The 26,454-nt window shown below is 43.8% G+C and overlaps 1 protein-coding gene across 8 annotated transcripts in view; it reads left to right on the top strand.

Moving 5' to 3' along the window:
- The window catches only part of HIPK2 (homeodomain interacting protein kinase 2), a 216,429-nt gene that overhangs the window by 9,477 nt on the left and 180,498 nt on the right, over positions 1–26,454 (top strand). The window contains exon 1 of one of the 8 annotated variants that reach the window (XM_047420263.1): positions 1–26,389. This exon is cut by the window's left edge and continues 7,626 nt beyond it. The exons of the other annotated variants lie outside the window; for them this stretch is intronic. The gene's annotated coding sequence lies outside the window, so the exon portion shown is untranslated. The remainder of the gene's footprint in view (positions 26,390–26,454) is intronic. 8 annotated transcript variants of the gene reach the window in all.

The following is a 26,454-nucleotide window of genomic DNA, read 5'->3' as shown; positions in this document are numbered from 1 at the left end:
AAGTCAGTACGATCATGATGAGTTTCACAGAACCTCAAAGCACTTTTAAGTCATTAAGCAGCTTTAAAAAAAAAACTGATTTCCCAAGGTACAGTTTAAAGTCATTTTATCTCTTTGACATCACCAAAACTTGAGCCCTGCCTCTTGTCTCCAGGCATGACAGTCTGACCTCAGATAGGGTCCTGTTGTAGTCTCTGTCTGGGGCTACTCCCCACCTGCCTGGGAAGCATTTCAGTCCAGATGAGCAGCATTTGAAATTAGTTGAACACTCAGACTTTCACGGTTATAAGACACAAACTAGGGAGTGAGCTTGCCCTGACATTTGTGGGTCTTGGGTCAAGAGTGTGAAGCGAGGCCCCCAGTCTGCCATCCACCCAATTCTCTCTCTCTACTCCTGGTCTGTGTGTCCAAGCTGCGACCACTCCCACCTCCGCTTGGAACTGGGGTGCCTCTTGCCCACCTTCCAGGTCTACATGTACACCCACAGGCCCTGGGAAAGGGCCTGGAAGCAGGCATGAAGCCTTTTGGGCAGGGAATCTCATGGCCCCAGGGACCCAGAGCCTGGTCTTGAAGAAGAGGGTGGGTGCTCAGCCTATGAATGGGCACAGCCCATGTTGGGAGGGGTGAGCTTGGGCCTTGACCCAATGAGGTTCAGGGCTTGAGCCCTTGTTGCCCTGTCCTAAAGGCAGTACTGATAAGGGGACACCTTGCTTCAAAAACTGAAGCAACAAAGGCAACTTGAAATGTTTCCTGTTTATATGGCTGGTGGTTGCATTTCTGCATCCTCTGCTCTCCTTTTCCTCCTCAACCTTGGTCTCATACATATGATTGCTTCCTAAAGCAAAGCTGATGAAACTGACCCATTTCCTGTTGCTTGCCAAAGTAGTTCAGTAACCAGTATGTTCCTTCTGCTGGTGAAACCTGACAGAGAACCTGGTAATTCTGACAGCTGTTATGTTTTGTGGGTTTCAGCCACTGACTTCCATGGCCTCTCCTACCATCCTTCTTTGATGGCGTCTCTGCTCTCTGCTTCCACCTATTTATTTTTTCCCACTTGTCTACCCACAGAGCCAGGCTCCCTTACCTACCTGTTTATTCTTTGACTGTGTGTTCCTTGAGCGTGTATTTGCCTTGTTTTACTTGTAGGTGTGAAGGTCTAAGTGGATGTACACACAGAACCTTCTTTGGGGTGTATTTGTGTAAGGGACTGTCTGGAAGAAGTGGTTCTTCAACCTTTTTGCCCTTCAGTTCTCTGGAGGGCTTGTTACAACAGATTGCTGGGTTTCACCCCCAGAGTCTCTAATTCAGTAGGTCTGTGGTAGGCTTGAGCATTTGCATTTCCAGTTGAGGACCATTGTTTTGGAAGAGTACATTCAGAACAAAAAGTCAGAAATATTTAGAATCAGATGGTGGTTGTTTTGGTGAAAGCTTTTCTTGGATGTGAGAGAGTCAGGGACCTGGCCTTAGCATTCTTCGCAATTCTACTGCCTTTTGTGGCTGTGACTTCCAGAAGCCATAGGCACATGCAGATCCAGCCTCCGACTTCCTCTCCTCTCACCTGCCTTCACATCTTCTCAGGGAAGGTCACAAAGTGCAGGAGCCACTTTCTCTTGTTCATTCAGAGCCAGCTGGTCTGTGTAGTTCATCCAGTTTGGTCTTGGGGCCCCAGAATAAAATGGGCCAAATATCATCCTCACAATAGTAATACACTATTATTAACTAATATTTAAGAGCTCTATGATTTTCTCCATTTACAGAAGAGGAAATTGAGGCTTAGAGATATGAAATAATGTATGCAAGGACTCATAACAAGTAATTGGTAGAGCCAGAGTTTGAACCTCAGTCCACTTGTCGCCAGCGCATGCCCTTATCTTCACTGGCAGGCCACCCTGCTTCTTGCAGGTAAGTTAGAGTGATCCATGCCATGTGCAAGACTGACTCCGGTAAGAAGGATCTGGGATCCTCCTTGGAAAAGAGGCAATCAAGCTGGAGACCGAAGGTGCTAACACAGATTTCTGTGACACTCTTGTTCCATTTGTCCTGTTCATCAAACAGGGTCAAGTGAGGTGGTGAATGTACAGCACTTGGACCTGTGGCTGGCATGTAGGAATGTGGTAGAGGGCAGCCAAGCCATGAGTCCCCTTTGAGAGCAAAACATATCAAATATTCAGGAATACTCTTACTGAGACCTCTAAGGAAAAACATGTTATGGGAAGATGATCATAACAGCTAATACCGCACACTTGCTATTGCCAGTTCTGCACTAAGATTTTACATGTGTGAATTCATTGAATCCCTGTAGTAACACTCAAAAGAGGTTCCACTTCCACAGTGTTACACAGAGGCACAGGCAGGTGAGGCAGCTCCTGAGTGCAGAGATGGGATCGACTCCAGGCAGTCTGAGTCCAGAGCTGACTCCTGACCACCAGCTGCACAGTAGAGACTCTTCCTCATCCCTCCTAGATGAGAGAGGGCAACTTGTAAATACATTGGTTCTTCTCCAAGTATCAATGGTCTTTGTTTTCATCAAAATCTGGATAAGTATTTTAAAACTTGAGAGACCAATTTCTGTTGCTTTTCTTGAAAGATAAGGTGGTAGGACATAGGTTAGGCATGGACCATAAGAGTGGTGAAGGGGTTAGCTCTATCCAGTGTCAAACCATAATGCTTCAAATCTGGGACAAAATTTGACAGACCCATCCATGGGGCAGAAGGGGGGAGGCAGATTTCAGGTTCCATAGTCTGTGAGCATTTAACAGAAGATGGAGGAGGTGCTGTGAGGCCATGGGGAAAGGAAGGCTGATTACCTGAATGGGAATGGGACTATATGAGAGCAATCTGAAAAATCTCAGTGGGTATCATCACCTCACATCATTACACCAATGTAAATTCTGCCTGATTAAAATGTGAGGTTTGACAAAAATATGTTCAAAATACATTCAGTGTTCTGGGGACTCTCCTAGGTGCCAAGTGTACAGCATTGAGCAAAACAGATAAAATTCCTGCCCTGAAGCAGCTTGCGTTTTAGCAGATAAAGACAAACGTTCCACTTTTTTACAAAGCTTTTTACAAAAGCTTGAAGGAAATGGAAGTGGATATTTATTAAACCTCTGGAGGAGTTGAAATTTCTAAGATTAGAAGCTGTAGATGAACTCACAGAGGAAAATATTATTAGTCTTGTCAGCATAAACATTCCCCAAATGTTAAGGTTATTTACTATCATGAGTTATTCCTCAGTGTAATTCTATGTAACATTGAGGTTTGTCTAGATGTTAGGATAGGTCCTCCAAAGTAGATATACTAGGTCAAGGGATTTGAACATCTGTTGGGTTCTAGATACATCACCAGGTTAATTTCCTTGCCAAAGTTTAATTTTTTTTTTTTTTGAGACAGAGTCTCGCTCTGTCATCTAGACTGGAGTGTAGTGGCATGATCTCAGCTCACTGCAACCTCTGCCTCCTGGGTTCAAGAGATTCTCCTGCCTCAACTTCCTGATTAGCTGGGATTACAAGCACCCGCCACCATGCCCGGCTAATTTTTGTATTTTTAGTAGAGACAGCCTTTCACCATGTTGGCCAGGCTGGTCTCAAATTCCTGACTTCAGGTGATCCACCTGCCTCAGCCTCCCAAAGTGCTGGGATTACAGGCGTGAGCCACCACACCAAGCCTAAAGTATAATACTTTTATATTAAACAAATCAAACCACCAAGATGAAAAATTGAGTTAACCCACCTGTTTGTCTGGGTGCTGCTCTCAGGCCTGGGCCCTGCTGTCATTCTACCCCTCTCGCCAGGTGACATATCATTCCCAGGTTTTCAATGCTCCCTCTATCTGTTAGGGACTCCTAAAGTTGTATCTTTACCTAGACTTCTTTTTTCAGCTCCAGAGTCATAAAGCCATCAAGCTACTGGACCTCTCTCTTTGGATATCTCATCCTTAACACATTCAAAGGAAACATCTTGGTCAACCCCCTGAAATATACTGCTGTTCTGGAATTCTTTATTTCCATAAATGGCACCTTCTGTCACCCAGTAGTTCACATCAGAAACCCAGAGTCATCCTTGACTTTGTTTTACTTAACATTTAACCCATCACCAAATTGTATTGATTTTTGCCTCCCAGGTGTAGCCATTCTCATCATTCGCCATAGCTGTGTTCTCTAAAGTCGCCAGGAACACTGAATTAGTGAATACTGAATCATTACTCCTAAGGGAGATACAGAGTTAGGTTCCTGTGAGCCTCTGGTCATATTTCCATTGACTGATCAATACGTAGTATCAGTTTCGTTGGTGTAATAATGTTGTATGTTGGTAGATGTTGTACGTTGGTATAGCATTACATATGTTGGTGTGATGATGTTTTATGTGTGTTTCTGTTTAAACATATATCTTAGCATATAGTTTTGATTAACATCAAACTCATGCCCAACAGCACTATAACTCATGCCTGAACGAGCTTATCTAACACATGCGTTTCTCATAAGGCACATCACAGTCTTCTTGTGCTTAGGAGCACTAAGCAGCACTTTAGCACTGTGCTTGGGGACCATTTAAACAGCAAAATCACCAACAAAACACACCAAAATGCAAAAAAAATGTGGCACTATATAGACAGTTGAAAGGGTACTTGTTTATAGTATAAGAGCTGAAACAGGAAGGCAGAGTGTCACCATTGTGGAGCTCAGCTGGGAATGTGTGTGTTGACCAGCGCAACTTTTTTGCTGCTCTGCGCATGCGCAGGCATGACCAAAAGTGCTCTGAGTATTGACTTTGGGGTTACAAACACCTTTTAGTGAGTAGGTGAATTTGCAAATGTGGAATCCAGGAATAATGACGACAGACTGTTTATCGTGAAGCCATCCATTTCTGTCTCCACTGCCATCCCTTGTCTGGGGGTTGGCAAACTTTTTCTGTAAAGGTCCACGTGGTGCATATTTGAGGCTTTGCAGGCCATCTGGTCTCTGCCGCCGTTACTGAAGTTGTAGAGTGAAAGCTGCACAGACAATACATACACGAGTCACGTGGTGGGAGGGGCGTGTGGGGGGGGGGGCGTGTTCCGGCAAAATCTTACTCCTAAAAGCAGACTTGGGTTTGAATTTGGTGTCCAGTCTGTAGTTTGGATCCCTGTAGCTAGCCTAAGCCACCATAATGTCTCATCTGGACTGGCTTCCTGACTTGTCCCTCCATGCCTGTTCTTGACCTTCCCCAGCCAGTTTCCCATAGTGATATTAAGTGCACATTAGATTCTGTCACTGCCGTACTTCAGATGTCCAACTGCTTTCCATCACACTTGGAAGAAAATCCTGAATCCTGAACAGCATGGATCACAGCACAGTCCCGGCTTGCTTCTCTGATCTCCCTGGACACCAGTCTTCCCCTCTGTTTGCCCCATCCTGGCCTCTTTCAGTTCTGTGACTGTTCCCAGCTGTTTCCTGCTTCAGCACCCTTTCCCACACAACAGTCTTCCCTTCCTGGAATGTTCTCCTGCCTGGCAGCCTGGTTAATTCATGCTCACTCTGTGGTCACACCTCAAATGTCACTTCCTCCAGGAGGCTTTCCCTGATCCTCCAGTGTAAATCATATTCCCCTCTTCTCATCTCAGAGCACCCTCTTCTTTTCCTTCATGACACTTAACAATTTTCATGAACCCACTTATTTGGGCATATTTGTTTTCCACCTGCCTTCCCCATTAGGCTGCAAGCTCCATGAAGATAGAAACCCATCTGTGGTTGTCTCTGTGTTCTCTACCCCGTTACCATCACGCACATTATAGACACTTCTGAAAACTTGGCAAATCAGTGAATGATTGTACAACATGCTTTTGTTCATACAGATTTTTGTATGAAACTGCAATCGAGGAAATTGCCACCCTTTTAGAGTGTATAGTATATCTTCAAAAATTGACAGTGATGATTAAAAGCAAAAGACATCTTGATAGGTGAGTTTGTAAATGGGTGTGCACGTGTATCCGTATTGTCAAAGGGTGATTCTGAGACAGACACTCTGCGAACAGGTATATCTGGTGTGAAGTTTTCTCCCTGGGACTTGAGTGCTGCATTCAATCCTGCTGGTCTCACTTTTCCCCTAGAGCTTTGGAACTTTGCTGGTAACATTTTCACATGAGGAAGTGGAGGTAAAGTTTGCTTGAGGAGGCATTTCAGCACCCCTCTTAAAAATTGACTTTGCTCTTGTTTCTTCTCTCAAACCATCACCTCATCTCTCTTAGACTTTGTCGGTGCTAGTTGTTGTTCTTTCTACAGTGTTGCCACCATCTGGGGAAGAAATCTTTGATTTGTCAGAGAATCATCTAAGCAATGAAGTTCCAACTTGGGGGTTGTTCCCAAGTCATTCCAGGAATCCTCCATGCCACTGATGGACAGGCCACTTAGCATATTTTAGAAAGGTAACAGATCATTTCTAAGATGACCTTCTGTAGATTACTAGTGAAACCTAAAGCCTTATGTAACTGCTTTTTTATGTATTTAGTACAGAAATAACATTTTCTAATTAAAGGAAATTAGAAAATAAAGGCAAGCAAAACACTCCACATACACACAGTTAGTCTCTCTCTCTCTCTCTCTCTGTCTCTGTCCAGAAATGACCACTGTTACATCTCTTAGGTCTTTTTGTATGCATAGATGTGTGCACATTTTTTTAACCAAAATGATGTATTACTGTTTTATTATCTGATTTTTTTGGATGACAGTCTCCAACTTTGTATTTCAATAAAGTTCATCTCGTTTAATACCTTGTTTCTATTCCGATTTCCATAACTGGCCCTCAAATACCCTTCAAGGCTGGTTTGTCGAAATCACCATCTAATCGAGTATCGTGCCCTATGTCTGGTTGTAACTTCCTTTTAGTCTCTTAATCCAGCACAGTCTCTTATTGAAGCAGCAGACCAGTTGCTGGTCTTGCCTCCAGAACCTCTGACCTGCTAGAGTGTGAGGTTGCTTCTTTATGGTTAGGCTTATTTCTCCATCCTCTGATTTCCTGTATGGAAAAGCTTGCAGGATTCAAGTTGTTTTTGACTAGATCTCACCAGAGCTAATTCAGTGTGCTTCACTCACTGTTACTAAAAAGGCCCACTACTGGGGATGCTGAGATTGACCCCTGGTCTAGGGCTGTGACAGCCTGAACCCACCATCGTCCAGTTACACTTTCCCCCTAGAGACCAGCAAGTGACTTGTGTGGTATAACTTTGCATACAAATCGTTTACTTAATGGTTTTGTACCCAGTGGTCATTCTTGCCTGAACCATACCTTCCTTGGGTTTTGGGAAATGTTTCTGTAATTCTTTCATTTCTTCTATAAAGTAGAGCTTTCCTGTACTGCCTGGGGCCGTCTGGTTACCCTGACACATGGTTCCCACTGGAAAGGCAGGATCTGTGCTAATGCTTTCCCTTTCCCCATTAACTTTCACAGTAAGGAGTTTAATAACCACTTCACGTAGTAACACGTGGTTTTTTTCTGTCTTTCTAACATTATACATTCATGGATTTTTATTGATCTGGTGTGTTCTAATCATTACTCTTTTGTTACAACTTTTAGGCAGTGAGACCCCTTCAGCTAGGTCCTGTGACCTTTTGACAGAACTTCTATAATCTTGAAAATCTGTGTTCATTCATGGCACAAATGCCCCAAGCTCATCTTGTACTTTTCAGTGGTATGGGACAATGGTATTAGAGAGTACAATCAGGGTATTGGGGGTGGTTATTGGTGCAGAGGTGACTTGTTTCTAGAGAACTTCAGTGGACAAAGCTGGAAAATATATACTGTTAAAATTTAAGAGTTCAGGTGGACATGTCCAGTTTAGTTTTAAAATCCTTATGCTTTCACTTTCCTTAGTAATTATTTTAACTCCCTTTTTCTGGTATGGAAAAATCTTTATTTTTTCTTTAACCTATAAATGTAAAGAATGTAGTTTCGAAATACCAATATTTATATTATTACCAATATGGAACTACAGAGGAAAGTTTAATACTTCTTTGTAATTTTTGTTTTGTTCTTAAAATGCATTCCACTAAGGGTATGTATTAAAAATACTGTGTTCTAAAATTCCTAAAAATAAATTCTTCCTCAGAGAGCATGTCACCCAGTTTGATGTATGGTTAGGCTCATATCATTCAGTTTCTTTTCAGTTTAGGACATTTTGAATGGAGCTTTTTTAAGATGGGTAATGCATTACGTGGCTGAAGGGTCAAAACTATGTAGATGTGGGCCGGGTGCGGTGGCTCACGCCTGTAATCCCAGCACTTTGGGAGGCCGAGGTGGGCGGATGATGAGGTCAGGAGATTGAGACCATCCTGGCTAACATGGTGAAACACCGTCTCTACTAAAAAATACAAAAAAATTAGCTGGGCGTGGTGGCGGGTGCCTGTAGTCCCAGCTACTCGGGAGGCTGAGGCAGGAGAATGGCGTGAACCTGGGAGGTGGAGCTTGCAGTGAGTCAAGATCACGCCACTGCACTCCAGCCTGGGCGACAGAGCAAGACTCTGTCTCAGAAAAAAAAAAAAACAACTAGGTAGATGTTTAATCTAGATGATGGGTATGTGAAAAATTGTTAAATCATTCTCTCTACATTTCTTTTGATATTGGAAAGTTAAAATAATTAAACAATATAGAGAAGTATACACAATGAAGTCTTAACCTGTGAACTTTGTTTTTTTTCTTTTTTATTATTTCTGTTTTGCAGATGAGCCCTATGCACTTTGTTCCCTCGTAGATAACCATTTTTCTTAGTATCTCGCTTAACCCTTGCGTCTTTCATTTTTAGAGGTTCTAGTGTGTGTATGGGTGTGTTCTTATTCCCTTACACAAAGGATAACATAACACATACAGTCTGTTGTTCTACGTCTTAACTTTTTTCTCTTAATAATACATTCTGGAACTCTGCATATTTGTACATAGAGATTATCTTCAGTCTTTTTTATAACCTTAGAGTACTCCATTTTGTTGATGTGTGATGATGGCACAACAACATAATCTTGGATTGTGTCTAATCCTCTGTCTTTTCAAATCACCTGTAATAGATAACCTTGTAGACATGTCATTTAATACTTTTGTAGGTGCATCTGTGAAATGAAATCCTAGAAATGGGATTATATAGTCAAGGGACAGATACATCTGTCATTTTTAAAAGTTATTGACAAATTCTTCCTGTAGGGTTTATACCGTATTCTACTCATGCAAGCAGTATGTGAAAGTGCCTGTTTCCCTAGAACATCACCCATGGAATCTGTTGTCAAACTTTTGGATTTTTGCTGGTAGGTGAGAAATGGTATTTTGTTATAGCTTTAATTTATATTTCTGTTATTATAAGTAAGGTTGATCATATTTTCATGTATTTAAATGTCATTTTGTGTTTATTTTTATGTGGAGTGTGTTTTGAATTTCAGACATTTTCCCACTATGTTGTTGGTCTTTTTCTTCTTTATTCTGAAAGCTCTTTATGTATAGTCTTTGCTATGAGTTGCATTTTTTTTCCAGTTGATCATGCATGTTTTGGTTTACTTAGTGGTGGTGGTTTGCCCTTTGGAAGTCTCTTTCATTTTATGTAGTCAAATTTATTTTTTTTATGGCTTCTGTATTTTTAGTCAAAGTTGGAGAGGCTTTGCCTGTCTCATATTTTTCAGTTCCTTTGGGTACTTTTGTAATTTTACTTTTTTCTGTTTACATCTTGGTACGTTTGGTGTTTCTTCTAGAGCAGCAGTTCCTAGCCTTTTTGGCCCCAGGGACTGGTTTTGTGGAAGACAATTTTTCCATGGACTGGGGGTGGGGGTGGTTTCAGGATGAAACCATTCCACCTCAGATCATCAGGCATTAGTTAGATTCTCATAATGAGCGCACAATCTGGATCCCTCGCATGCGCAGTTCACAGTAGGGTTCATGCTTCTGTGAGAATCTGATGCCACTGCTGATCTGACAGGAGGCGGAGCTCAGCCGGTAATGCTCACTCACCTGCCACTCACCTCCTGCTGTGTGGCCTGGTTCCTAACAGGCCAGAACTGGTACTAGTCTGCGGCCGGGCCAGGGCGGGGTGGGGAGTGGTTGGGGACCCCTGTTTTAGAGTATGTTCTGAGGCTTGGATGCAACTTTATATTTTTTCAATACTCAATTGTCCCAACATTATTTGTTTAAAAGTTTATATTTTTCCCATAGTATCATAACCCCTACTTTATCATTTACTAAGTTCCTATAGGTCTGGGAGTCTATTTCTGGACTCTATGTTTTTCCATGGGTTGATCTGTTGTTAATGTTTGAAATTTATATCATCTTTTCATATCTGAAAAGACTAGTTCTCCCTCGTTGCTCTTCCCCTTCAGCCTTGTCCTGGCTATTCTCCATGTTTGTTATTCCATATGAACTTTAGACCCAACATTCTTGATTCCAGAAAAAAAGCCTGTTGGTATTTCCATTGGGATCACATTAAATTTATAAATTTCTTAGGAGGAATTAACATCTTTACAAGGTTGAGTCTTCCCGTCAAAGACAATGTTTTCTATGTGTTCTTTTTTTGTGTGTACTTTAGTAATGTATAAAAGTTTTCTGTATATAGGTTGTATACATGTCTTAAGTTAATCCTTGTAAATAATATCTTTCATTATCTCCTCTTGTTTGCATATGAGGACTATTTATTTCCACATGTATTTTTGACAGCTTTATTGAGATATAATTCATGTAATTTACCCATTCAAAGTGTATAGTTCAGTGGTTTTTAGGATATTCACAAATTGTGCAACCATCACTACTATCTAATTTTACAACATTTTTGTCACCCCAAAAAGAAACTCTGTACCCATTAGCAGTCATTCCCCCTTCTCAACCTCCCCCAGCCCCTGGAAACCACTAGTCAAATTTCTATTCAAGACGTTTTCTATAAATGGAATCATGCAATACATGGTCTTTTGCAGCTGGCTTCTTTCACTTAGCTTGTTATCAAGGTTCATCCATGTTGTCGCATGCCTTTTTTTAGGATAGCCATCCTTGTGAGTGTGAAGGGTACCACTGTGGCTCAGATTTGCTGATTTCTATATGTATTTAGTTCTCTTTTGTGAGATTTCATGAGTGCAGGAGGCTGGCTTTCAATTCCAGATCCCCAGTGCCTCCCAAAGTGTCTAGCAAATATTTGGTACTCAATAAATGCTTATTGAATGAATGCTTGGATTTAATATACTTCTAGGCCACCTCTACATTTTAAAGTTAAAATGTAGTTTGGCATATATAAATTAATTTTTATCTTTTCCTAGGTGAAACATAATTACAGGGTGAGTTTTTCCTCCGGGAAAGCCTGGTAAAAGCAGTTTTGACTGATATGTGGTTTGTGCTGGTCAATATTCCTTTTTCTTACATTAAAACGAATGATTGAGAGTTGCTGGTACATATGTCTAAGTGTCTGTGTCTCATCTTTTCAGGAGGATGATTTTTAGCTCTAGATTCTAATTGTTATTGAAAACTACTTAGTAATATGTATAAGATAGAGGTGAGAAATTAGGTAAAGTTCTGGGCCTGGGAAAAGGGAGTTTTGAATGAGATGGATCAGTTCATATGTATTTTACAAGTTCTAGGTTTACCAAGGGCTGTGTTCCAGAACCTCTTTTGTAAGCTAGTTGTGTGGACACATCACAGTTAACAATAAAGTGCTATCAGCTAAGATTTGGGTCTCAAGCTTGCCTTAAAGGAGATATGGGAGAGTATAGTTGATGCATGCGTGAGAGCAGGCGGTGTGTATGGGAACTCCCTGTACCTTCCACTCAATTTTGTTGTGAGACTAAAACTGCTCTACAAAAATAAAGTCTGACTGGATGCGGTGGCTCATGCTTGTAATCCCAGCACCTTGGGAGGCTGAGGCAGGTGGATCACCTGAAGTCAGGAGTTTGAGACCAGCCTGACCAATATGGTGAAACCCCATCTCTACTAAAAGTACAAAAATTAGCCAGGCATGGTGGCATGCGCCTGTAGTCCCAGCTGCTTGGAAGGCTGAGACAGGAGAGTTGCTTGAACCCGGGAGGCAGAGGTTGCAGTGAGCCAAGATTGCACCACTGCACTCCAGCCTGGGTGACAGAGCGAGACTCCGTCTCAAAAAAACAAACAAACAAACAAACAAAAACTAAATAAAGTCTAGTAATTTTTAAAAAGAGTGAGAGAGAACACAGCTGAAATACATATACTTTTTAGGAAAAGGGAAATAATTAAATATCAGAAAAATAATATTGAAGAAGAAATATTTCTCTTTAATGTCAGTGTTTGAAGAAAGGTATTTTAATTAAATCAGATCGTGTGTGTTTGCAGGAGACTTTTGGACACTATCCAAGGATTTTGAGATTGACAATATTGGATTTTTATATTGCCCCAATTTTCTTTCAAAATATGTGACTGTTAAGATTATTATTACCCTTATATTATTAGACGTGTTTGGGTTGGGGATAGGAAAAAGACAGAGGGAGATTGATTGGTTGACTGATTCATTCGTTCATTGGTTAAATGGGACAGACTGATTTCTCTAACTGTCTGAGCCTGAGAGATGGGGAAGGTAGAACATGGCTCAGAAGAATATGCATTTCCTGTAAGAAAACATTTGTCTGAAAGGAATTATAATAATTGAGAATTAAGCTGTATGATACAGAAGCAGTATCTGAAGGGCAGATGGATAATAGAAGGTAGCTGTGGTGCAACTCGAATCAATGGCTGGAAAGCCACAGGAGGCAGATTCCCACCAGGCCCTAAGGAAGGACACCGTACCGAAGCCCTCCACATGTGGACATCCATGGGGCCTGCGATTTCTCTGGTACTGGAGGTATTCCAGATGAGTGCCTTGTGAAGGGACTGCCGGAGACTGGCATCCAACAGAACATGGATGTGGGACCAGAGCATCTTTAAGGCTTCTTCTCAGAGAGGCTGGTAGTTCTGAGCGTGTTTACAGTTCCATTGAGGGAGAAAAAAGGAAGAAGCAGGGAAAAAGAGTTAGGTGGGGATTTTCCCCGTCAGCTCAGGAGACCTTGTTTCTCTTCAGAGAGAGTAGGATGGTAGAAAACAAATTGTTTTTTGTTTCATGGTCTGTTTATTAGTAGATTATTGGTTAAGATGCTTTTAGCTTCAAGGGACAGAAACCAACACAAAGTGTATAAACAAAAGGGAAAACTGACTGACTGGTTAACAAGAAGTTCTGAGGTCATCAGCTCCAGGGTTGGTTGTAAAAAACTGATGTTCTTTCTGTATTTCTGCCCCATGGTTTGTGGTATGTCGGTCTGATGGCTGCCACAGTTCTAGGCATCACATCCAACTCAACAGTGTCCATGGGAAAAAGAGCATCTCTTTAAAGCAAGAAAACCTTTTCCAGAAGCTTCCTGCAGACCTCCCTTCACACCTCGTTGACCAGGCTGATGGTGTGTGCCAGTGCCTAAGTCAAGTCATTGACAACAGGAAGAAGATGAGCCCTGGCTGAGTTAAACTGACCAGGATGTGCATCCCCCCCATGCTGGAAGTGAGGCCGTCTTCCCTGAGAGTCAGTATCCGAACAGAAAGATCACCCAATGCATGTTGTTTTTAAAGTACTTATGGAGATCTCTGTGCCGTGGTGGTATCATCCGTATGAACCATCCAGGCTGTAGTCAGAGAATCAGAGACTCGCTGTGTGATCTCCAAGAAGCCGTATCACCTGTGTCCTCCATAGCAAGAGAACGTATTGGAAGCCCCTCCTAGCTTTCGAATTCCATCATCGTCTCTCCTTCTCTCCCCTTCAGCTCCCCTCCCACTGCCCACGGAGGCTGCTGTGTGACAGAGGAAGTTTCTTATCAAGTCCTCAGTGATCTATGTAAAGAAGAGATGGTGTTTTCTCAGGCTCTTAGCACTTTGTTCTGTTGGTTTCACAAACTAATTATTGTTCAGAATTTAATTTTTAGAAAATTTTAATGACTTTTGTAAGAGGTTTAGTTAACATACTGCACACACACACTCTCTGTCTCTCTCACACACTTAGCTTTTCTATGTGTATATACATGTACATGTATCTATATTCTAACCTGGCTTTGGTGGAACCAGCTTTCTTGCTCTGTGCACAGACATCTTCCTGCTGCTCGTTTCAGCCCTGATGTGGTGGAATGTGTCTGAAGCATGCGTTTCTAGGTCTTTTCCTTATGGCCTCCACAAAGTGGTCTTGATGGCCCTCAGTTCTGTTCAGCAGTAATGCAAAGTGAAGATGTTTCTCTGACTCAAAAGTGAGATGACATTAATTGAGCGCCTACCATTTGTGCTCCTTCTATCGGAGACTTAGATACGATATTTATGCTTAAAATGGCTCTGAAATTAAAGGGCAAGGCCTGAGGTGCAGTATCTCCTCTTTCTAGCCCTCCCATTCAGGCCTGTTTAGCTACTTTCTCCCCACTTCCAAAGGGTGTCTCTTGGAAAGAAGCAGGACTGTCCCCTAAATTGGAGCAGATAGCAGCCTGGGGCCTCGAGCCCCCGCTTCCCTTTGTGTTGTGCACTGGCTCCAGCGTGGCGCCCGTCTTTGAAGTCAGGTGGAAGCCCCACAGGCAGGGCTGCTGCCCTCCTGCTCTCTGGCCATTCAGCACAACCTTTAGTCTAGGAAAAGTGCCAGTCTTCATTTCCAAGTATCATATCTCCCTAAATGGGGCAATCTGCTTTAAATGCCTTCTCCACTGGCGCCTTCCCCATCTCACAATTGGCATAATTAAAGGGAAAGGCTCACCTCCTTTGCTGCCTATGTGTACTGGGTCAGGGCGTTGGCTGGGGGCCGCTGGTGTGTATGCACGCCTGCCCTCGCAGAGACGCTCCCTTGGCCCTCCAGCCCTTGAGTGATCATTTTCAGAAGTGTTCAGAGCCACTCTGCAAGCATACACTTTACCTTTGCATTTTCCCTACTGTGCTCAACTCAATAACAGGCAAGCTGGTTACTATGATCCATGAAGCTTTTTGTATCTTGCTGGAAAAAAATGCACTCTGAGCTGAAAGATAATCTCCCTCGATGGTTCCAAGTCAGAATTTGCTTTATGACTCATGACATTTGGTGTCTTTCTCCATGAAGATTTCCCCCTTCTCCTCGTCCACTCCCAGCTTCAGATGTGTGCGATGGTGTGGTTCATCCTTAGAGAGTCACTGCTGGTCCCAAGGAATGGTGTGACATGTAGGAAGGCTCCCGTGGTTGCTGGTCCCCTCTGATCTCCAGTTCAGCTGCCACGCCAGCACCCTCGATTAAGCTCCTTTGGAACCTGGGTTTTTATTACCTGCCACTCAGCTTAAAGCAGAGGCCTCTCAGAGGGCATGCCTGGTAATGCAGCTGCCCTCTGTTCTGCGGAGGCAGCCTCAGTCTCCATCACCTCCCTCTCAGAAGTCAGTCTCTCAGCAGCACTGGGGGGCCCACTGTGTGCAAAGCCCTGTGCCCACTGGTTCAGCCAAGAATGGAATAGAAAACAACCATGCCCATCTGACTACTGTAAAGAGGGACAGGAGAACCTTGGGACAGAGGCATACCTGTGCTTGCCCAAGCCTACCTAGACCACCCTCTTGTGGGATGTGCACTGGGAATTGATTTCCCAGTGGTGGGGACAAACTTGTGCTCATTTCTGCCTCGTTTGTCACCTAGATTCTCTTTACGATGACATCTAATGTGCAGAAGTCCAGCCCGTAGCAGCAGCATTTGACTAATGTGGGAAGTTCAGGAATTTTGAGCCTGGAAAGTCCTGGGAAGGAAAATCCCTCATGCTTCAGCAGGGCTGTGTGGCCGGTTCTCCATGTGCTTCAGCAGAGTTTTCTTTCTCTTTTTCTTTTTTTTTTTTTTTTCAGCTGTGAAAAAAGCAGTGCCAGCTGTTTGGTAAAATATGGGTCAGTGAGAAATAGGATTTGCTTTATAGAAGTTAACTTTGGAGAATCGTGTCCTCAAAAAGAAAAGAAGTCTAAAGATAGGAGGACTGAGGGAATCCTGGGTGTGGTGATCCTAACCCCATAAGTTAGCTTGGGGTGCTTTCAGGAAGATTTTGGTTTCCAGCAGTTCAGAAGGGAGGTGGGCATGATTTGGTGCAGAAGGGGGAGAGGTGAGGGAGAAAATCACATGCAGACACGTTGAGTAGTGATAAACCACGAGACAGACTCTGCACGGCCGGACAGAGGGCATCTTATTAGAGTGGAAAAGAATAGTATTTTATTTTGCTGTGAACAAGATAGTTTGGGGAGTGGAGAAGAGCTCCCAGGGTGGGCGATGACAGGTGTCTGGGGGACACTGGAGCCAGTGGATGCAGCAAACAGCTTGGACTTCAGTCCCTTTTCTAGCAAAGGAGCTGCCCCTGTGGGGTGGGGGGCTGAGGAGGTTGGAGACCATTTGAAATAGCTTCTGAGCATGTGTGTGCACACAGGCACATGCATGGCTGGTGTCTCTTAGAGAAAAGGTATTTAGAGAAAAGCAAGGTTGTGAGTGGCCTGAGAGCAGTTACAATTGATTTTGAATATGGAAGCAATTCTACCTAATCCAGAGAATATACAAAGTATACTTTGGAAAGGGGCAGTAAACTTTTCTGGTTGGCCTGCCTTCCTCCCTCCTTTTCTTCTTCCCTTTCTCTCTTCTTCCCTTCCTCCCATCCTTCCTTCCTTCTGTGATCTTTGTGGGAGAGCAAGAGCTATTTGTATGTAGTGATTATAAATTTGGTACTTACATAGAATTTCTCAACATGTTTCTCAGAGATTAACATGATCCCTGGGAGAATCTGGAAGGTCTATCTTTGGGGTGTCTTCTGAAGAAGATTGTGATTCTTATGGCATCTGCCTTCTCAAGCCCTTAGTCATTAATTATTTACTCTCATATCTCTCAATGCATGCAGTTTAGTGCCTAGCACTAAGTGATGGTTTGTGTGCATGGTTGGCCCAGCAGAAATATGTTTGTCCATCCATCCATCCATCCATCCATCCATCCATCCATCCATCTATCCATCCAACCATCCATCCATCCATCCCTCCCTCCCTCCCTCCCTCCCTCCCTCCAAATCATTCATCAAATAAGGGAACCTTCCCCAAAGGTCCCAGCTGTTCTCTCTCCCCTTCTTATAGGCTATAACTGGGTAACATGCCTAGCCCAGATCATTCACTCCCAGGCACAGCAAACAATTAGCTTAGACTAGCCAGGATTGGTTCTTGAGTCACACAAAGGGGAGGTGGAAGGTGGTTGGAGGTGGTGGTGGGGAGAGTGACATCTAAACTAAATCCTGTCTCTCCAGAAGAGAAAGAGGGAATGGCTATTAGGAAGGCAACTTACAGTGTCTGCTTCAACATGTTCATTTTTTTTTAAATGTTTCACTCTGATTGTAGTGTTTTTTAACTATACTATTCTCTAAATTTGGCTGTGTTTACTATGGTAATTATTTTAATTAAGTTCTATTTGATTATTTGTAATTCACCTTGTTTTACAACTTTTGATTGATTTTATAGTATAAATACGTATACTGCAATAAACCATATGATACATAAAAGAATTTAGGACAGGATCAGGATAAATACAAATAAATATAGAAGTTCAAAGTTAGGAAGAAAAAGAATTACAGATATGCAGACAATAAGTCCCTTACATTGCTACTTAGCTGAGCTTCATAACATCAAAGAGAAAAGGCAAATGTGGTCGCTGCGGTCATTCTTGCTGTCAGAGAAGGAAGGTGCACCAGGTCCTCAAGAGGAGCAAAGATTTTTTTAGTTCTTTTCAACTAAATTTTGCATGTGGACTTTTATCTAGGAAGCACTGAGAGGTATCATGAACAGGGTGTTTGGCATCCCCACAACAGATGAAAAACTGGGTTCTTACAGCTCTTCTCACAGCAGTCCTCATTGGAAGCTCAAGGCCTAACATGAAAATGCAACTCAGCAAATGTTATTCCCTGGAAGGCCAAAATAACAGGTCTGAGTACTTCTTCTTATCCTTCTACTGGTTTGATGCAACACAAAGACCCAAAACACTCAGCAGAACTGCCAGTCTACGTGCCTATCAGACAACCTTCAAGACTATTACTTTTTTTTAACTGGCGTGTTCACGCATGTGTGTGCCTATGTGTGTAAATATATCTGTATATTTATGAATAGATGTATACATCCAAAATACTATATATATAGGAAGAGATCATTTGAGGGTAGATTCCATTGCCCACCATGCTGTATTCTAGCTCATCAATTGAGGCTTTAGGAATCGACCTGGTAAGGTTGACATCTGTGGAAATTAAGGCCTCTATTTAAAATGCTCACAGAGGAGAGTTCTATTTTTGTAAATAGGATAATTGGGTGGAAAACTGTGCTAATGTCTGTCTTTATTTAACCACTCCAAGGGACAAAGCCTAACTGCTAAAACCATGAGGCCATAACCAAGACACCACCATTTACCCAGGGACACCGTCATCTTTATACTGCAATTTTAAAAGAGTATGGAGGTCAGAAGCCAGACAGTTGGTTTCTGTATTAATGTCTCCAGGGGATGAACAGAGGGTGAGAAGGAGCAGATAGACAGAGGCAGGTCTGGACGGGAGGTTGGAGAGCGGTCAGCGATGTTCTCCCAGCTGTCAGGAATGTTATGTGGGAAGAGGTTAGGGAAGAGAGTTAGGGGAAATATCAAATGAGGGAATGACTGTGTCCTGGCAGAGGTGTTATTTCCTCTAAACCACTTTTGATGATCTTCTGTCCTTGTGAAGATGTTGGGAGTGGACAGTGCCAGGACAGTATGAACTGTTGTGCGGCGTGGCGGATACCAGAGGAGGGTGCAGGGAACAAGCATTTATAGAGCCTGCCACTATTTCACCTGCTGACCTCCTTTGAGAGGCAGTATTAGGAAATGGTTAGAGTGCAGCTGTGTAATCAGAGGCTCTAAGCCCGAGTCTTCTCCCAGCAAACGAGGATAATAGCGGCGTCTTACCTCAGACCTGTTGGGAGCTGCCGTGAACACGTCATCCACGCCCAGTAAATGCTAGTTAACACAGTGATGGCCATCCAGAGAGCTTTCTTAGCCTGATGTGAAGTAGATCTCAGGCTCTGCATTTTCCAGCAGGGTAAACTGAGGCATAGAGAGACAAATTCACTTGTGCAAGATCTTTTATCTATTAAGTGTCAAAGCTAGGATTCAAGCCAGGTTTTCTAGCACTAAAGCTTATTGGTTTTTTCTGTTCCATGCTGCCTGAATTCATAGGTAATTCACCTGTGTCTTATAACCCAGACACGTGATGTGGGCCATGAACCACAGCACCTTTCTGGGTCCACTGTGCTGGTGGATAGCTTTCTGTTCATGACAATCACGTCTGATGAGCTTGGCAGTGATTTGTATGATGACAGTGACCGTCCAGCAGTATGTTAAGGAGTCTGGGTCAGGAGGGACTTTCTTCATTTGTTTTTGCCACATCACCCAGAGAACATCCCTGTAAAAGAAGGCGGTTTGATGAACTTGGAGGAACTCCCCAGCACTCTACTTGTGACCATGACAATTGTGACAGTTTTTCCTTCACACTGTATTCAAGGTCAGGTTTTTGTTCTTGGACCTTGTTAAATCGAGGATAGTGGGCTTGAATGACTTGGTGTATCATGGAAATAGCCTCATGTGGTGTTAGCTTCTGCCTGGGGTCACCAGCTGCTCCCACAAAGCTGAGTAGCCAGTAATTTCTTACAAATCTTTTCATATTAATAGAAAAATGGAAGGCAGATGGTGGGCCAGGAGGAGTGCTTTTTCTTTGAGGCTTTGAGGGCCTGTCAGGGGATGAATTTTGTGTCCCCCTCCCCACTCACATGTTGAAGTCCTAACCCCCAGTACTTCAGCATGTGACCTTATTTGGAAATAGGGTCATTGCAGATGTGGCTAGTTAAGATGAGGTCCCACTAAAGTAGGGTGGGCCCCTAGTCTAGTATGACTAGTGTCCTCATAGGAAGGGGAAATTCAGACACAGACACGCCCACAGGGACCATGGCTCATGAGCACGAAAGCAGAGACTGGGTTAATAGGCATAGAAGCCAAGGAACAGCAAAGATTGCCAGCGCCCACCGGAAACTAGGAGAGAGGCATGGAACACACCGTCCCTCACAGCCTCGGAGGGAGCCGGCCCTGTCGACACCGTGATCTTGAACTTCTGGCCTCCAGAACTGTGAGATAATAAATTGTGTTGATTATGCCCCCCAGCTTGTGGTGCTGTGTTATACTAGGCCAAATAAAGTAACGTAGGGCCCATGGAAAAACAGTGACTTACAAATTCCAGAAGAAAAGCTAGAGCCCCTCCTATGCTTTGGTTAAAGTTTCCATCGGAGCGTGGGAGTCTGGATGTAGGGCTGAGGGTTCCAAAAGTGTCATAGAAAGCAGAGAAGCGGCTCAGATGGGCAGACCAGCTTCCGAAGAACACGGGTGTTCTGTGAAGGTCATTGCGTGGAGGTGACCTTTTCCCTCACTGAGTTTTTTAGAGAAAGCAATTTTGTCCTTTCAGGTTGGAAAAATATTTTCTTCAAGACCACAAAGTGACAGTTAAAAAAAAAAATTGGCCACCTGCAAGTTTAAATGTCACCATCTAGAACAGCTCTGCCTGATAGAGCTTTCCGTACTGATGTCTCTCTCGGTCCACCCTCTCTCCCACAGTAGCTACTTGCCACGTGACCAGTAAGCACTTGAAATGTGGCCAGTGGGGCCGAGGAACTCAATGTTTTATTTTAATTAATTTAAATTTAAATAGCCACTTGTGCCCGCTAGCTAATTCTATGTGTTGGTCAGTATGGCTCCAGATCACCAGAATAGTGGTGGGATGGGACCCAAGGGAAAAACCGGGGGTGCCTGGATATCCAGTGGAGGCCACAGGAGGGCTGGGGCTGATGGGTCACCCTGGCTTGGCTAGTGCCCTTGTGTGTGGTCTTGTCCTCAGCCACAGGGGCCTAGGTGGGAGTAAAAGTGAAGTAACACAGGCAGAATTTTCTGGATGCTTTACTAAAGAGATGCTTAATGTGAGGCTTTGTCTGCCGTTCCTTCTCTGATCCCAAAGTATCTTCGACTGGTTTAGTGCTCGATAGAGATGGGGTAGATTAAGATACTTGAAGAAAAGCCAGGAAGCTGGGTCTCTGGATATGGGCAGACCGAGATGTTTCTTTGCAGGTTTCAAGTGCCGGCCCTTGATGTACCCAGAGGGGCCGCTAGTCCCAACGCTAGGAAGGTGGGAACGTCCAGATGCAGACCACCTTCTCCGAAGCTAGGAGGGTTTCCCCTGAGTCTGTCATACTAGACTTATTGATTGCAGATGCCTGTCAAAAGCTACTGAGGCTCAGCCACCTCTGCGTTCTTCACAGTTGCCACCCTGCCTCCAGCCCCTGAATTGATGGCTGCTGCAGGGAGTGTGACCAGAGGATGCCGTTTGGAGAGTAGTCACATGGGACATCTCAGAATCTGAGATGGAACCCCAACTGGGCAGTATTTGGTGCAGTTTCACACCGAAAAGGGGTCCCTGTGACTGATTTGGCCAGCCCTGGACAAATGAGTGTTGTCATTGTATCACCAGCGGCTTTGGCTCAGTGCGTGGTATAATTTAAAAATTGCCTCTTTTTCTAGCTCTACTTAGTTATCATTCTGATTTCAGAAAGAAACAAATGGTTCACCAAGTCTTATAATATCTCTAACCCCGAGACAAGCGAGGGGTGTGAGGCAGAGACACGCTATGTCAGGCTACAGCCTGCCTCTCCCCTGGCCCACGTCACCTTGGCCGACTGGACTCTGAACAGTGAAGGGATAGCCTAGAAGGAAGGAGCTGAGCCACCTGACTGAGTGGTGAGGTTGGTGGATGTGCAGATGGAATTCCTGGCATTGAATTGGAGGGCAGGAGTTTTAGTTTGAGTAGAGGTTAGGAAGATAAAAGAGGTGCGAGAAACCTGTTGTCAACCTCCAGCAGATTTGGTAGCTTGTGCCACATGTGCAGCATCATGCTTGGGGACTCAGGGGACATCAATAAGTAGTCAGTAGCTGATGCTTATATTGGTAGTGCCTACAGTGTGCCAAGCCCAGTTCTGAGCTTAATACTTTACATACATTAGCCACTTCAGCACAGTCGCTGTCTTTTCCAAGCACTCTTAAACTCATTGCAGGCAAGATTAAACCAAGCAACAAAAGACATCAAGCGATGCAGGGTAATACGTGATGAGCACTGTTAGGCCCAAAGAGAAAACCCTGAGGTCCCCAGTGACAAGGGATGCATCATTTGATCTGGGGTTTGAAGGATGGTCTTGATTTGGAAAGGTGGCTAGGGAGCAAGCTCGAGGTTGCCCCACACAGGGGTGCACAAGGCCCGGCTGGGGGACAGTGGGTGTCTCACTTGGGCTGACTGGAACAAGTTCCAGGTCACAGGTTTTTTTATTTGAATGTAATTATTTGACTGTAGTAGCCATCAGCAGATGGAGAGTTCAGAGGGACTGCACTGAAATAATGAATAATTTGCAGATGCAGTTGGTAGCCCTGGTGTCTTGGTGTGCCTTTCTGTTCCAGCAGGATGCGTGCAAAGAGTGGCTCACAGCCCCATCTGCTCTGCTCCTCCTGGCTCGAGCTTTGCTTTAATAACCTCTCTGTCACCTATTTACACGAGGTCATCCAGCTCCTCTTTTTCTCCTTTTCTGTGTTGAAATAATCGTGGCTGCTACTTGCTGTGAAAGACTTAACTAGTAGTGGGTAGGATTGACCTCTCAATTCAGTAAACATTTACTGAGTCCCCAGGACAATGCTTGCAGTGAGCATGCAGAGGAGGAGGTGATTCCAGCCGGCAAGTGGAGGCAGAGCTCGAGCCAGCAGGCCTGGCCACTGCCTGGAAGTTGGGGGGTGAGGGGGGTGTGGAAGGTGAGCCAGGGTGCTTAGCCTCAGCCACTGGGGAATGCGAATGATAGTCCTGGGGGAAAGAGAAAACAAGAGGAGGAACAGATTTGTGGGATGGAGAACAGTGGGGTAATGAGCTCCATTTGGGACATTTTAAGTTTGAGACAGGACATTCCCTGGAGACATTAAGCAGGCAATAAAAAGACCCCCAACTTAGAGTCCTCGAGGCCCTGCGGTTGCAGTGTGAAATAATCCGGCTTCAGCTTCCTTCCCTTTCCTTCTCAAGTGGTTCCCCATGGAGTCACTTTAGACTCGGGGGGAGGATAGTTGCTTCCTCAGTCTCCCTAGCCTTTATCCTCACACTTGAATGCTAAATCCAGAACTCCTCATTCCTGCTAAGTAGTTCAAAAGCTCCAAGGGATCCTTGGAACAGTCGCACCCTGGTGGGACTTTTCAGAGCACTCCTAGGGTTAGAAGAGAAATTTCAGGGTAACCGCAGAATAATGTGAGCTATAACTGGCCCGAGTGATCTTCTAGCTGGGACCTGGATGTGAGGCTGGCATGTTTGAAGGTTGGTGAATGCCTGTTGACCTGCATGCCCCAACCGGGTGAACTCCTTCTACCTTTTGATTCCTAACTAATTGCAGTGAACAATACGCCAGCTTGTCTTCTGTAAAATGAGAGGGTGACTGTGCCCACCAGCCTTGCTGCTTTGGTTGGACAGGTCAGTACAGTGCCTTGAAACTCTACTTATTCATCTGTGAAATGAAGGGATTTGGCGAGATGCCGCTTAACGTGACTTCCAGCACTAGCATTTTATGTAGGTCAGTGATCCTTTGTCCAGGGAGTGATCTTTTTTCCAGAGGAACCGTTCTGCAGTTGCTGGTTAGCTTATCATCTTGGCAGGGAGCAGCGTGGTGAAGCGAGCAGAACGTGGCCTCCGGAGTCAGCAAACCTAGTTAAAATCCACTTGCCGTAAGTCCGTCACGTGGCTTCGCAGCGGGCCTCTTGGCAATTAGCTGCTTTTCACCAGTCCTCAAGTTTCCTCATCTGTAAAATGGGATGATGATATGTATTTCAGGTCCGGTGGGTGAGAATATGTATCAGGCATCTACTTTTGTGACTATTTTTAAAATGGCTTTATTGAGATATAACTCACATACCGGAAAGTTCACTTTTTTGAAGTGTACAGCTCATCAGCTTTTAGCCTGTTCACTAAGTTGTACATCAGGCACCACTGTCCAATTCCAGAACATTCCATCATCCCAAAAGGAAATCCCATTCCTGTTAACTCACTCCCTATTCGCTTCTCCTTCTAGCCCCTGGCAACCACTAATCTATTTTCTGTCTCTATGGGTTTGCCTGTCCTGGACATTTCATTGAAATGGAATCAGACAATGTGTGATCTTTTGTGTCTGGCTTCTTTTGCTTAGCATGATGTTTTTGAGGTTCATCCATGTTGTAGCAGGTATCGGTTCTTCATTGCTTTGTATTGCCAAATAGTGTTTCACGGTAGGAATATACCACATTTTGCTTATCTGTTAATCACTTGATGGACATGCAGGTGGTTTCCACTTTTTGGCTGTTATGAATAATCCTCCTGTGAACATTAGTGGACATGGTTTTGTGTAGACATATGTTTTCAGTTTTCTTGGTATCCCATTGTGTTTTTGATTTGCATTTCCCTAATAATTAATAATGATCATCCTGTGCATATTGACCATTTGTATGTCTTCTCTGGCTAAATGTATATTCAGTTCTTCATTCATTTAAAAAATTAGGTTGTGTTTTTATTATTGAGTTGTAAGAGTTCTTTATATACTCTGGATGTTGTACCTGGCTTTTAAATAGGCATACAATCAATGTTAGTTCCTCATTCCAGGTCTCTCGCAGAACCCTGTAGTCTTTTAGGTGACCTCTGGAACTAACTGCCCAGACACTTAATCCTCAGCATCCTGAGTCTTAAACCATCCCCTTATGTCTTGTTCAGAGCTCTTCTTAGCACAAAGCCCTGAGCCATTTTGATCCTGGAGCCCCAGTCTGGAACTTGGAACAGCAGGGGGATAGGTGGGGTCTAGAGATGGGCTCTGGCTGAATCCACAGGGCAGTGGCTACTACCAAGTCTCATTTTTTTCTAGATGGAGGACTTAGGGGGTAACTGCACTGATTTTTGGCTGCATGGAGTCCTCTGTCCTGTGCTATGGACACCTGCATGTTGGGGCTGGGGCCCACAAAGAGATATGTCTAAGGACACTGGCTTCTTTCCACTGCCACTGCCAAGATGAGCAGCGGATTTTCCAAGAGTGATCTGGCAGTTGTAAGTTGTATATAAAAATGTCCCAAGGAAAATCATGTGTCTGTTTTAAAGAGAAGGGAGTTTTCTAGGAAACCTTTGACCTGGACATTCTTCTCTATTCTGAGAACTGTACCCTGTGCCCCCAAGATGTGATCTGTACTTTGTTGCCCCTCTGCTTTTGTGCCCATCATCTTCTTCCTCTATTTCTCCTCCCTGATGTGTGCAGCCCTCCCTTTCAGCCAGTAGGGAAAGGGAAACCTGCAGGGTCCGGCAGGGTCCCCTGTTCCTCCCCAACAAAGCCTCTTAGGTTTTCTTTGGCTGGGGTCTCTTCCTGCACACCTGGGGAAGAGGTGCCTGCAAAGCAGTGAAGGCCTTGGGAGTCCCACCTAGACTGTCCTCCAGAGAGCCATCTCCACTAGTTTGTGAAACTGCCATGCCACGTTTCTGTCCTAAAGACTTGGCCTTTCCTTAGACATGGATTTGATGGGTCCTGGACAGACGTTATTGATTGTTCCTCATAAGTCAGTCAAGACAGTTTATAGTCTCTGTTAATGCCCGGGAAATTTGTTTTGGAAGACAAAGCCAGCCCAATGGCATTTGGATGATGCTGACTTATTTTAAAGGGGAGAAGATACCCCTAGATGTGCAAGTCTTTTATAGGAACAGCTGTCTATGATGAGTCTTCATGCTCCTTTTGCTTCTCTGAACATTCTGGCATGCCCCTACCTAGCTGCTATTTTCTTGATTTCATAGAAAAGCACATTCTACCCTCAGAAAATCTGCTGTCCATTTGGAATGATAAGATAAATCAGAAAATTACCCATTGTTAGAGCTAAAAGATTCCTTGGGGATTATCCAATCCATTATTTTTCAATCTCCTATCCTGACAAAAAAGAGTAAGTGTTTTGTATGGAGAAAAAAAAAAGAAGTTTCCCTTTGGTAAATAAATTTGGGCTTCAGAGCATATTGTATATCCCTCTTGGAGATCCACGGTGTGCACTGCGATATTAAAGCCTCTGAGAAGTCCTGCAAAAAAGAAAACCGCTTTATTTGATTTAACCCAGCATTTCTTAAACTGTTTTGACCTCATTTTTTTCTTCTTTTTTCATAATAAATATTAGCACCTCACAGGACACTCAGCCCAGTTTGGTAAGCATGGCCTCCTTCATGGAAGAAGAAATCTGTGTTCAGAAATATTAAGTGACTTGCTCAAAATCAACACAAAGCCAGACTTGAAGCCAAATTTTCTAACTCCCACTCCATTGTTCTTTCTACAATTTATAACCATGTCGTGGCTGAGTAAGGGTTTATGACTTTTAAAGATGTTGTCATTTACATTCCTAATGGAAAATGTAAAGGCATTA

The sequence above is a fragment of the Homo sapiens genome, chromosome 7 (genome assembly GCF_000001405.40).
Source record: "Homo sapiens chromosome 7, GRCh38.p14 Primary Assembly".
NCBI lineage: Eukaryota > Metazoa > Chordata > Mammalia > Primates > Hominidae > Homo > Homo sapiens.
This window is presented reverse-complemented; position numbering and strand designations above follow the sequence as displayed.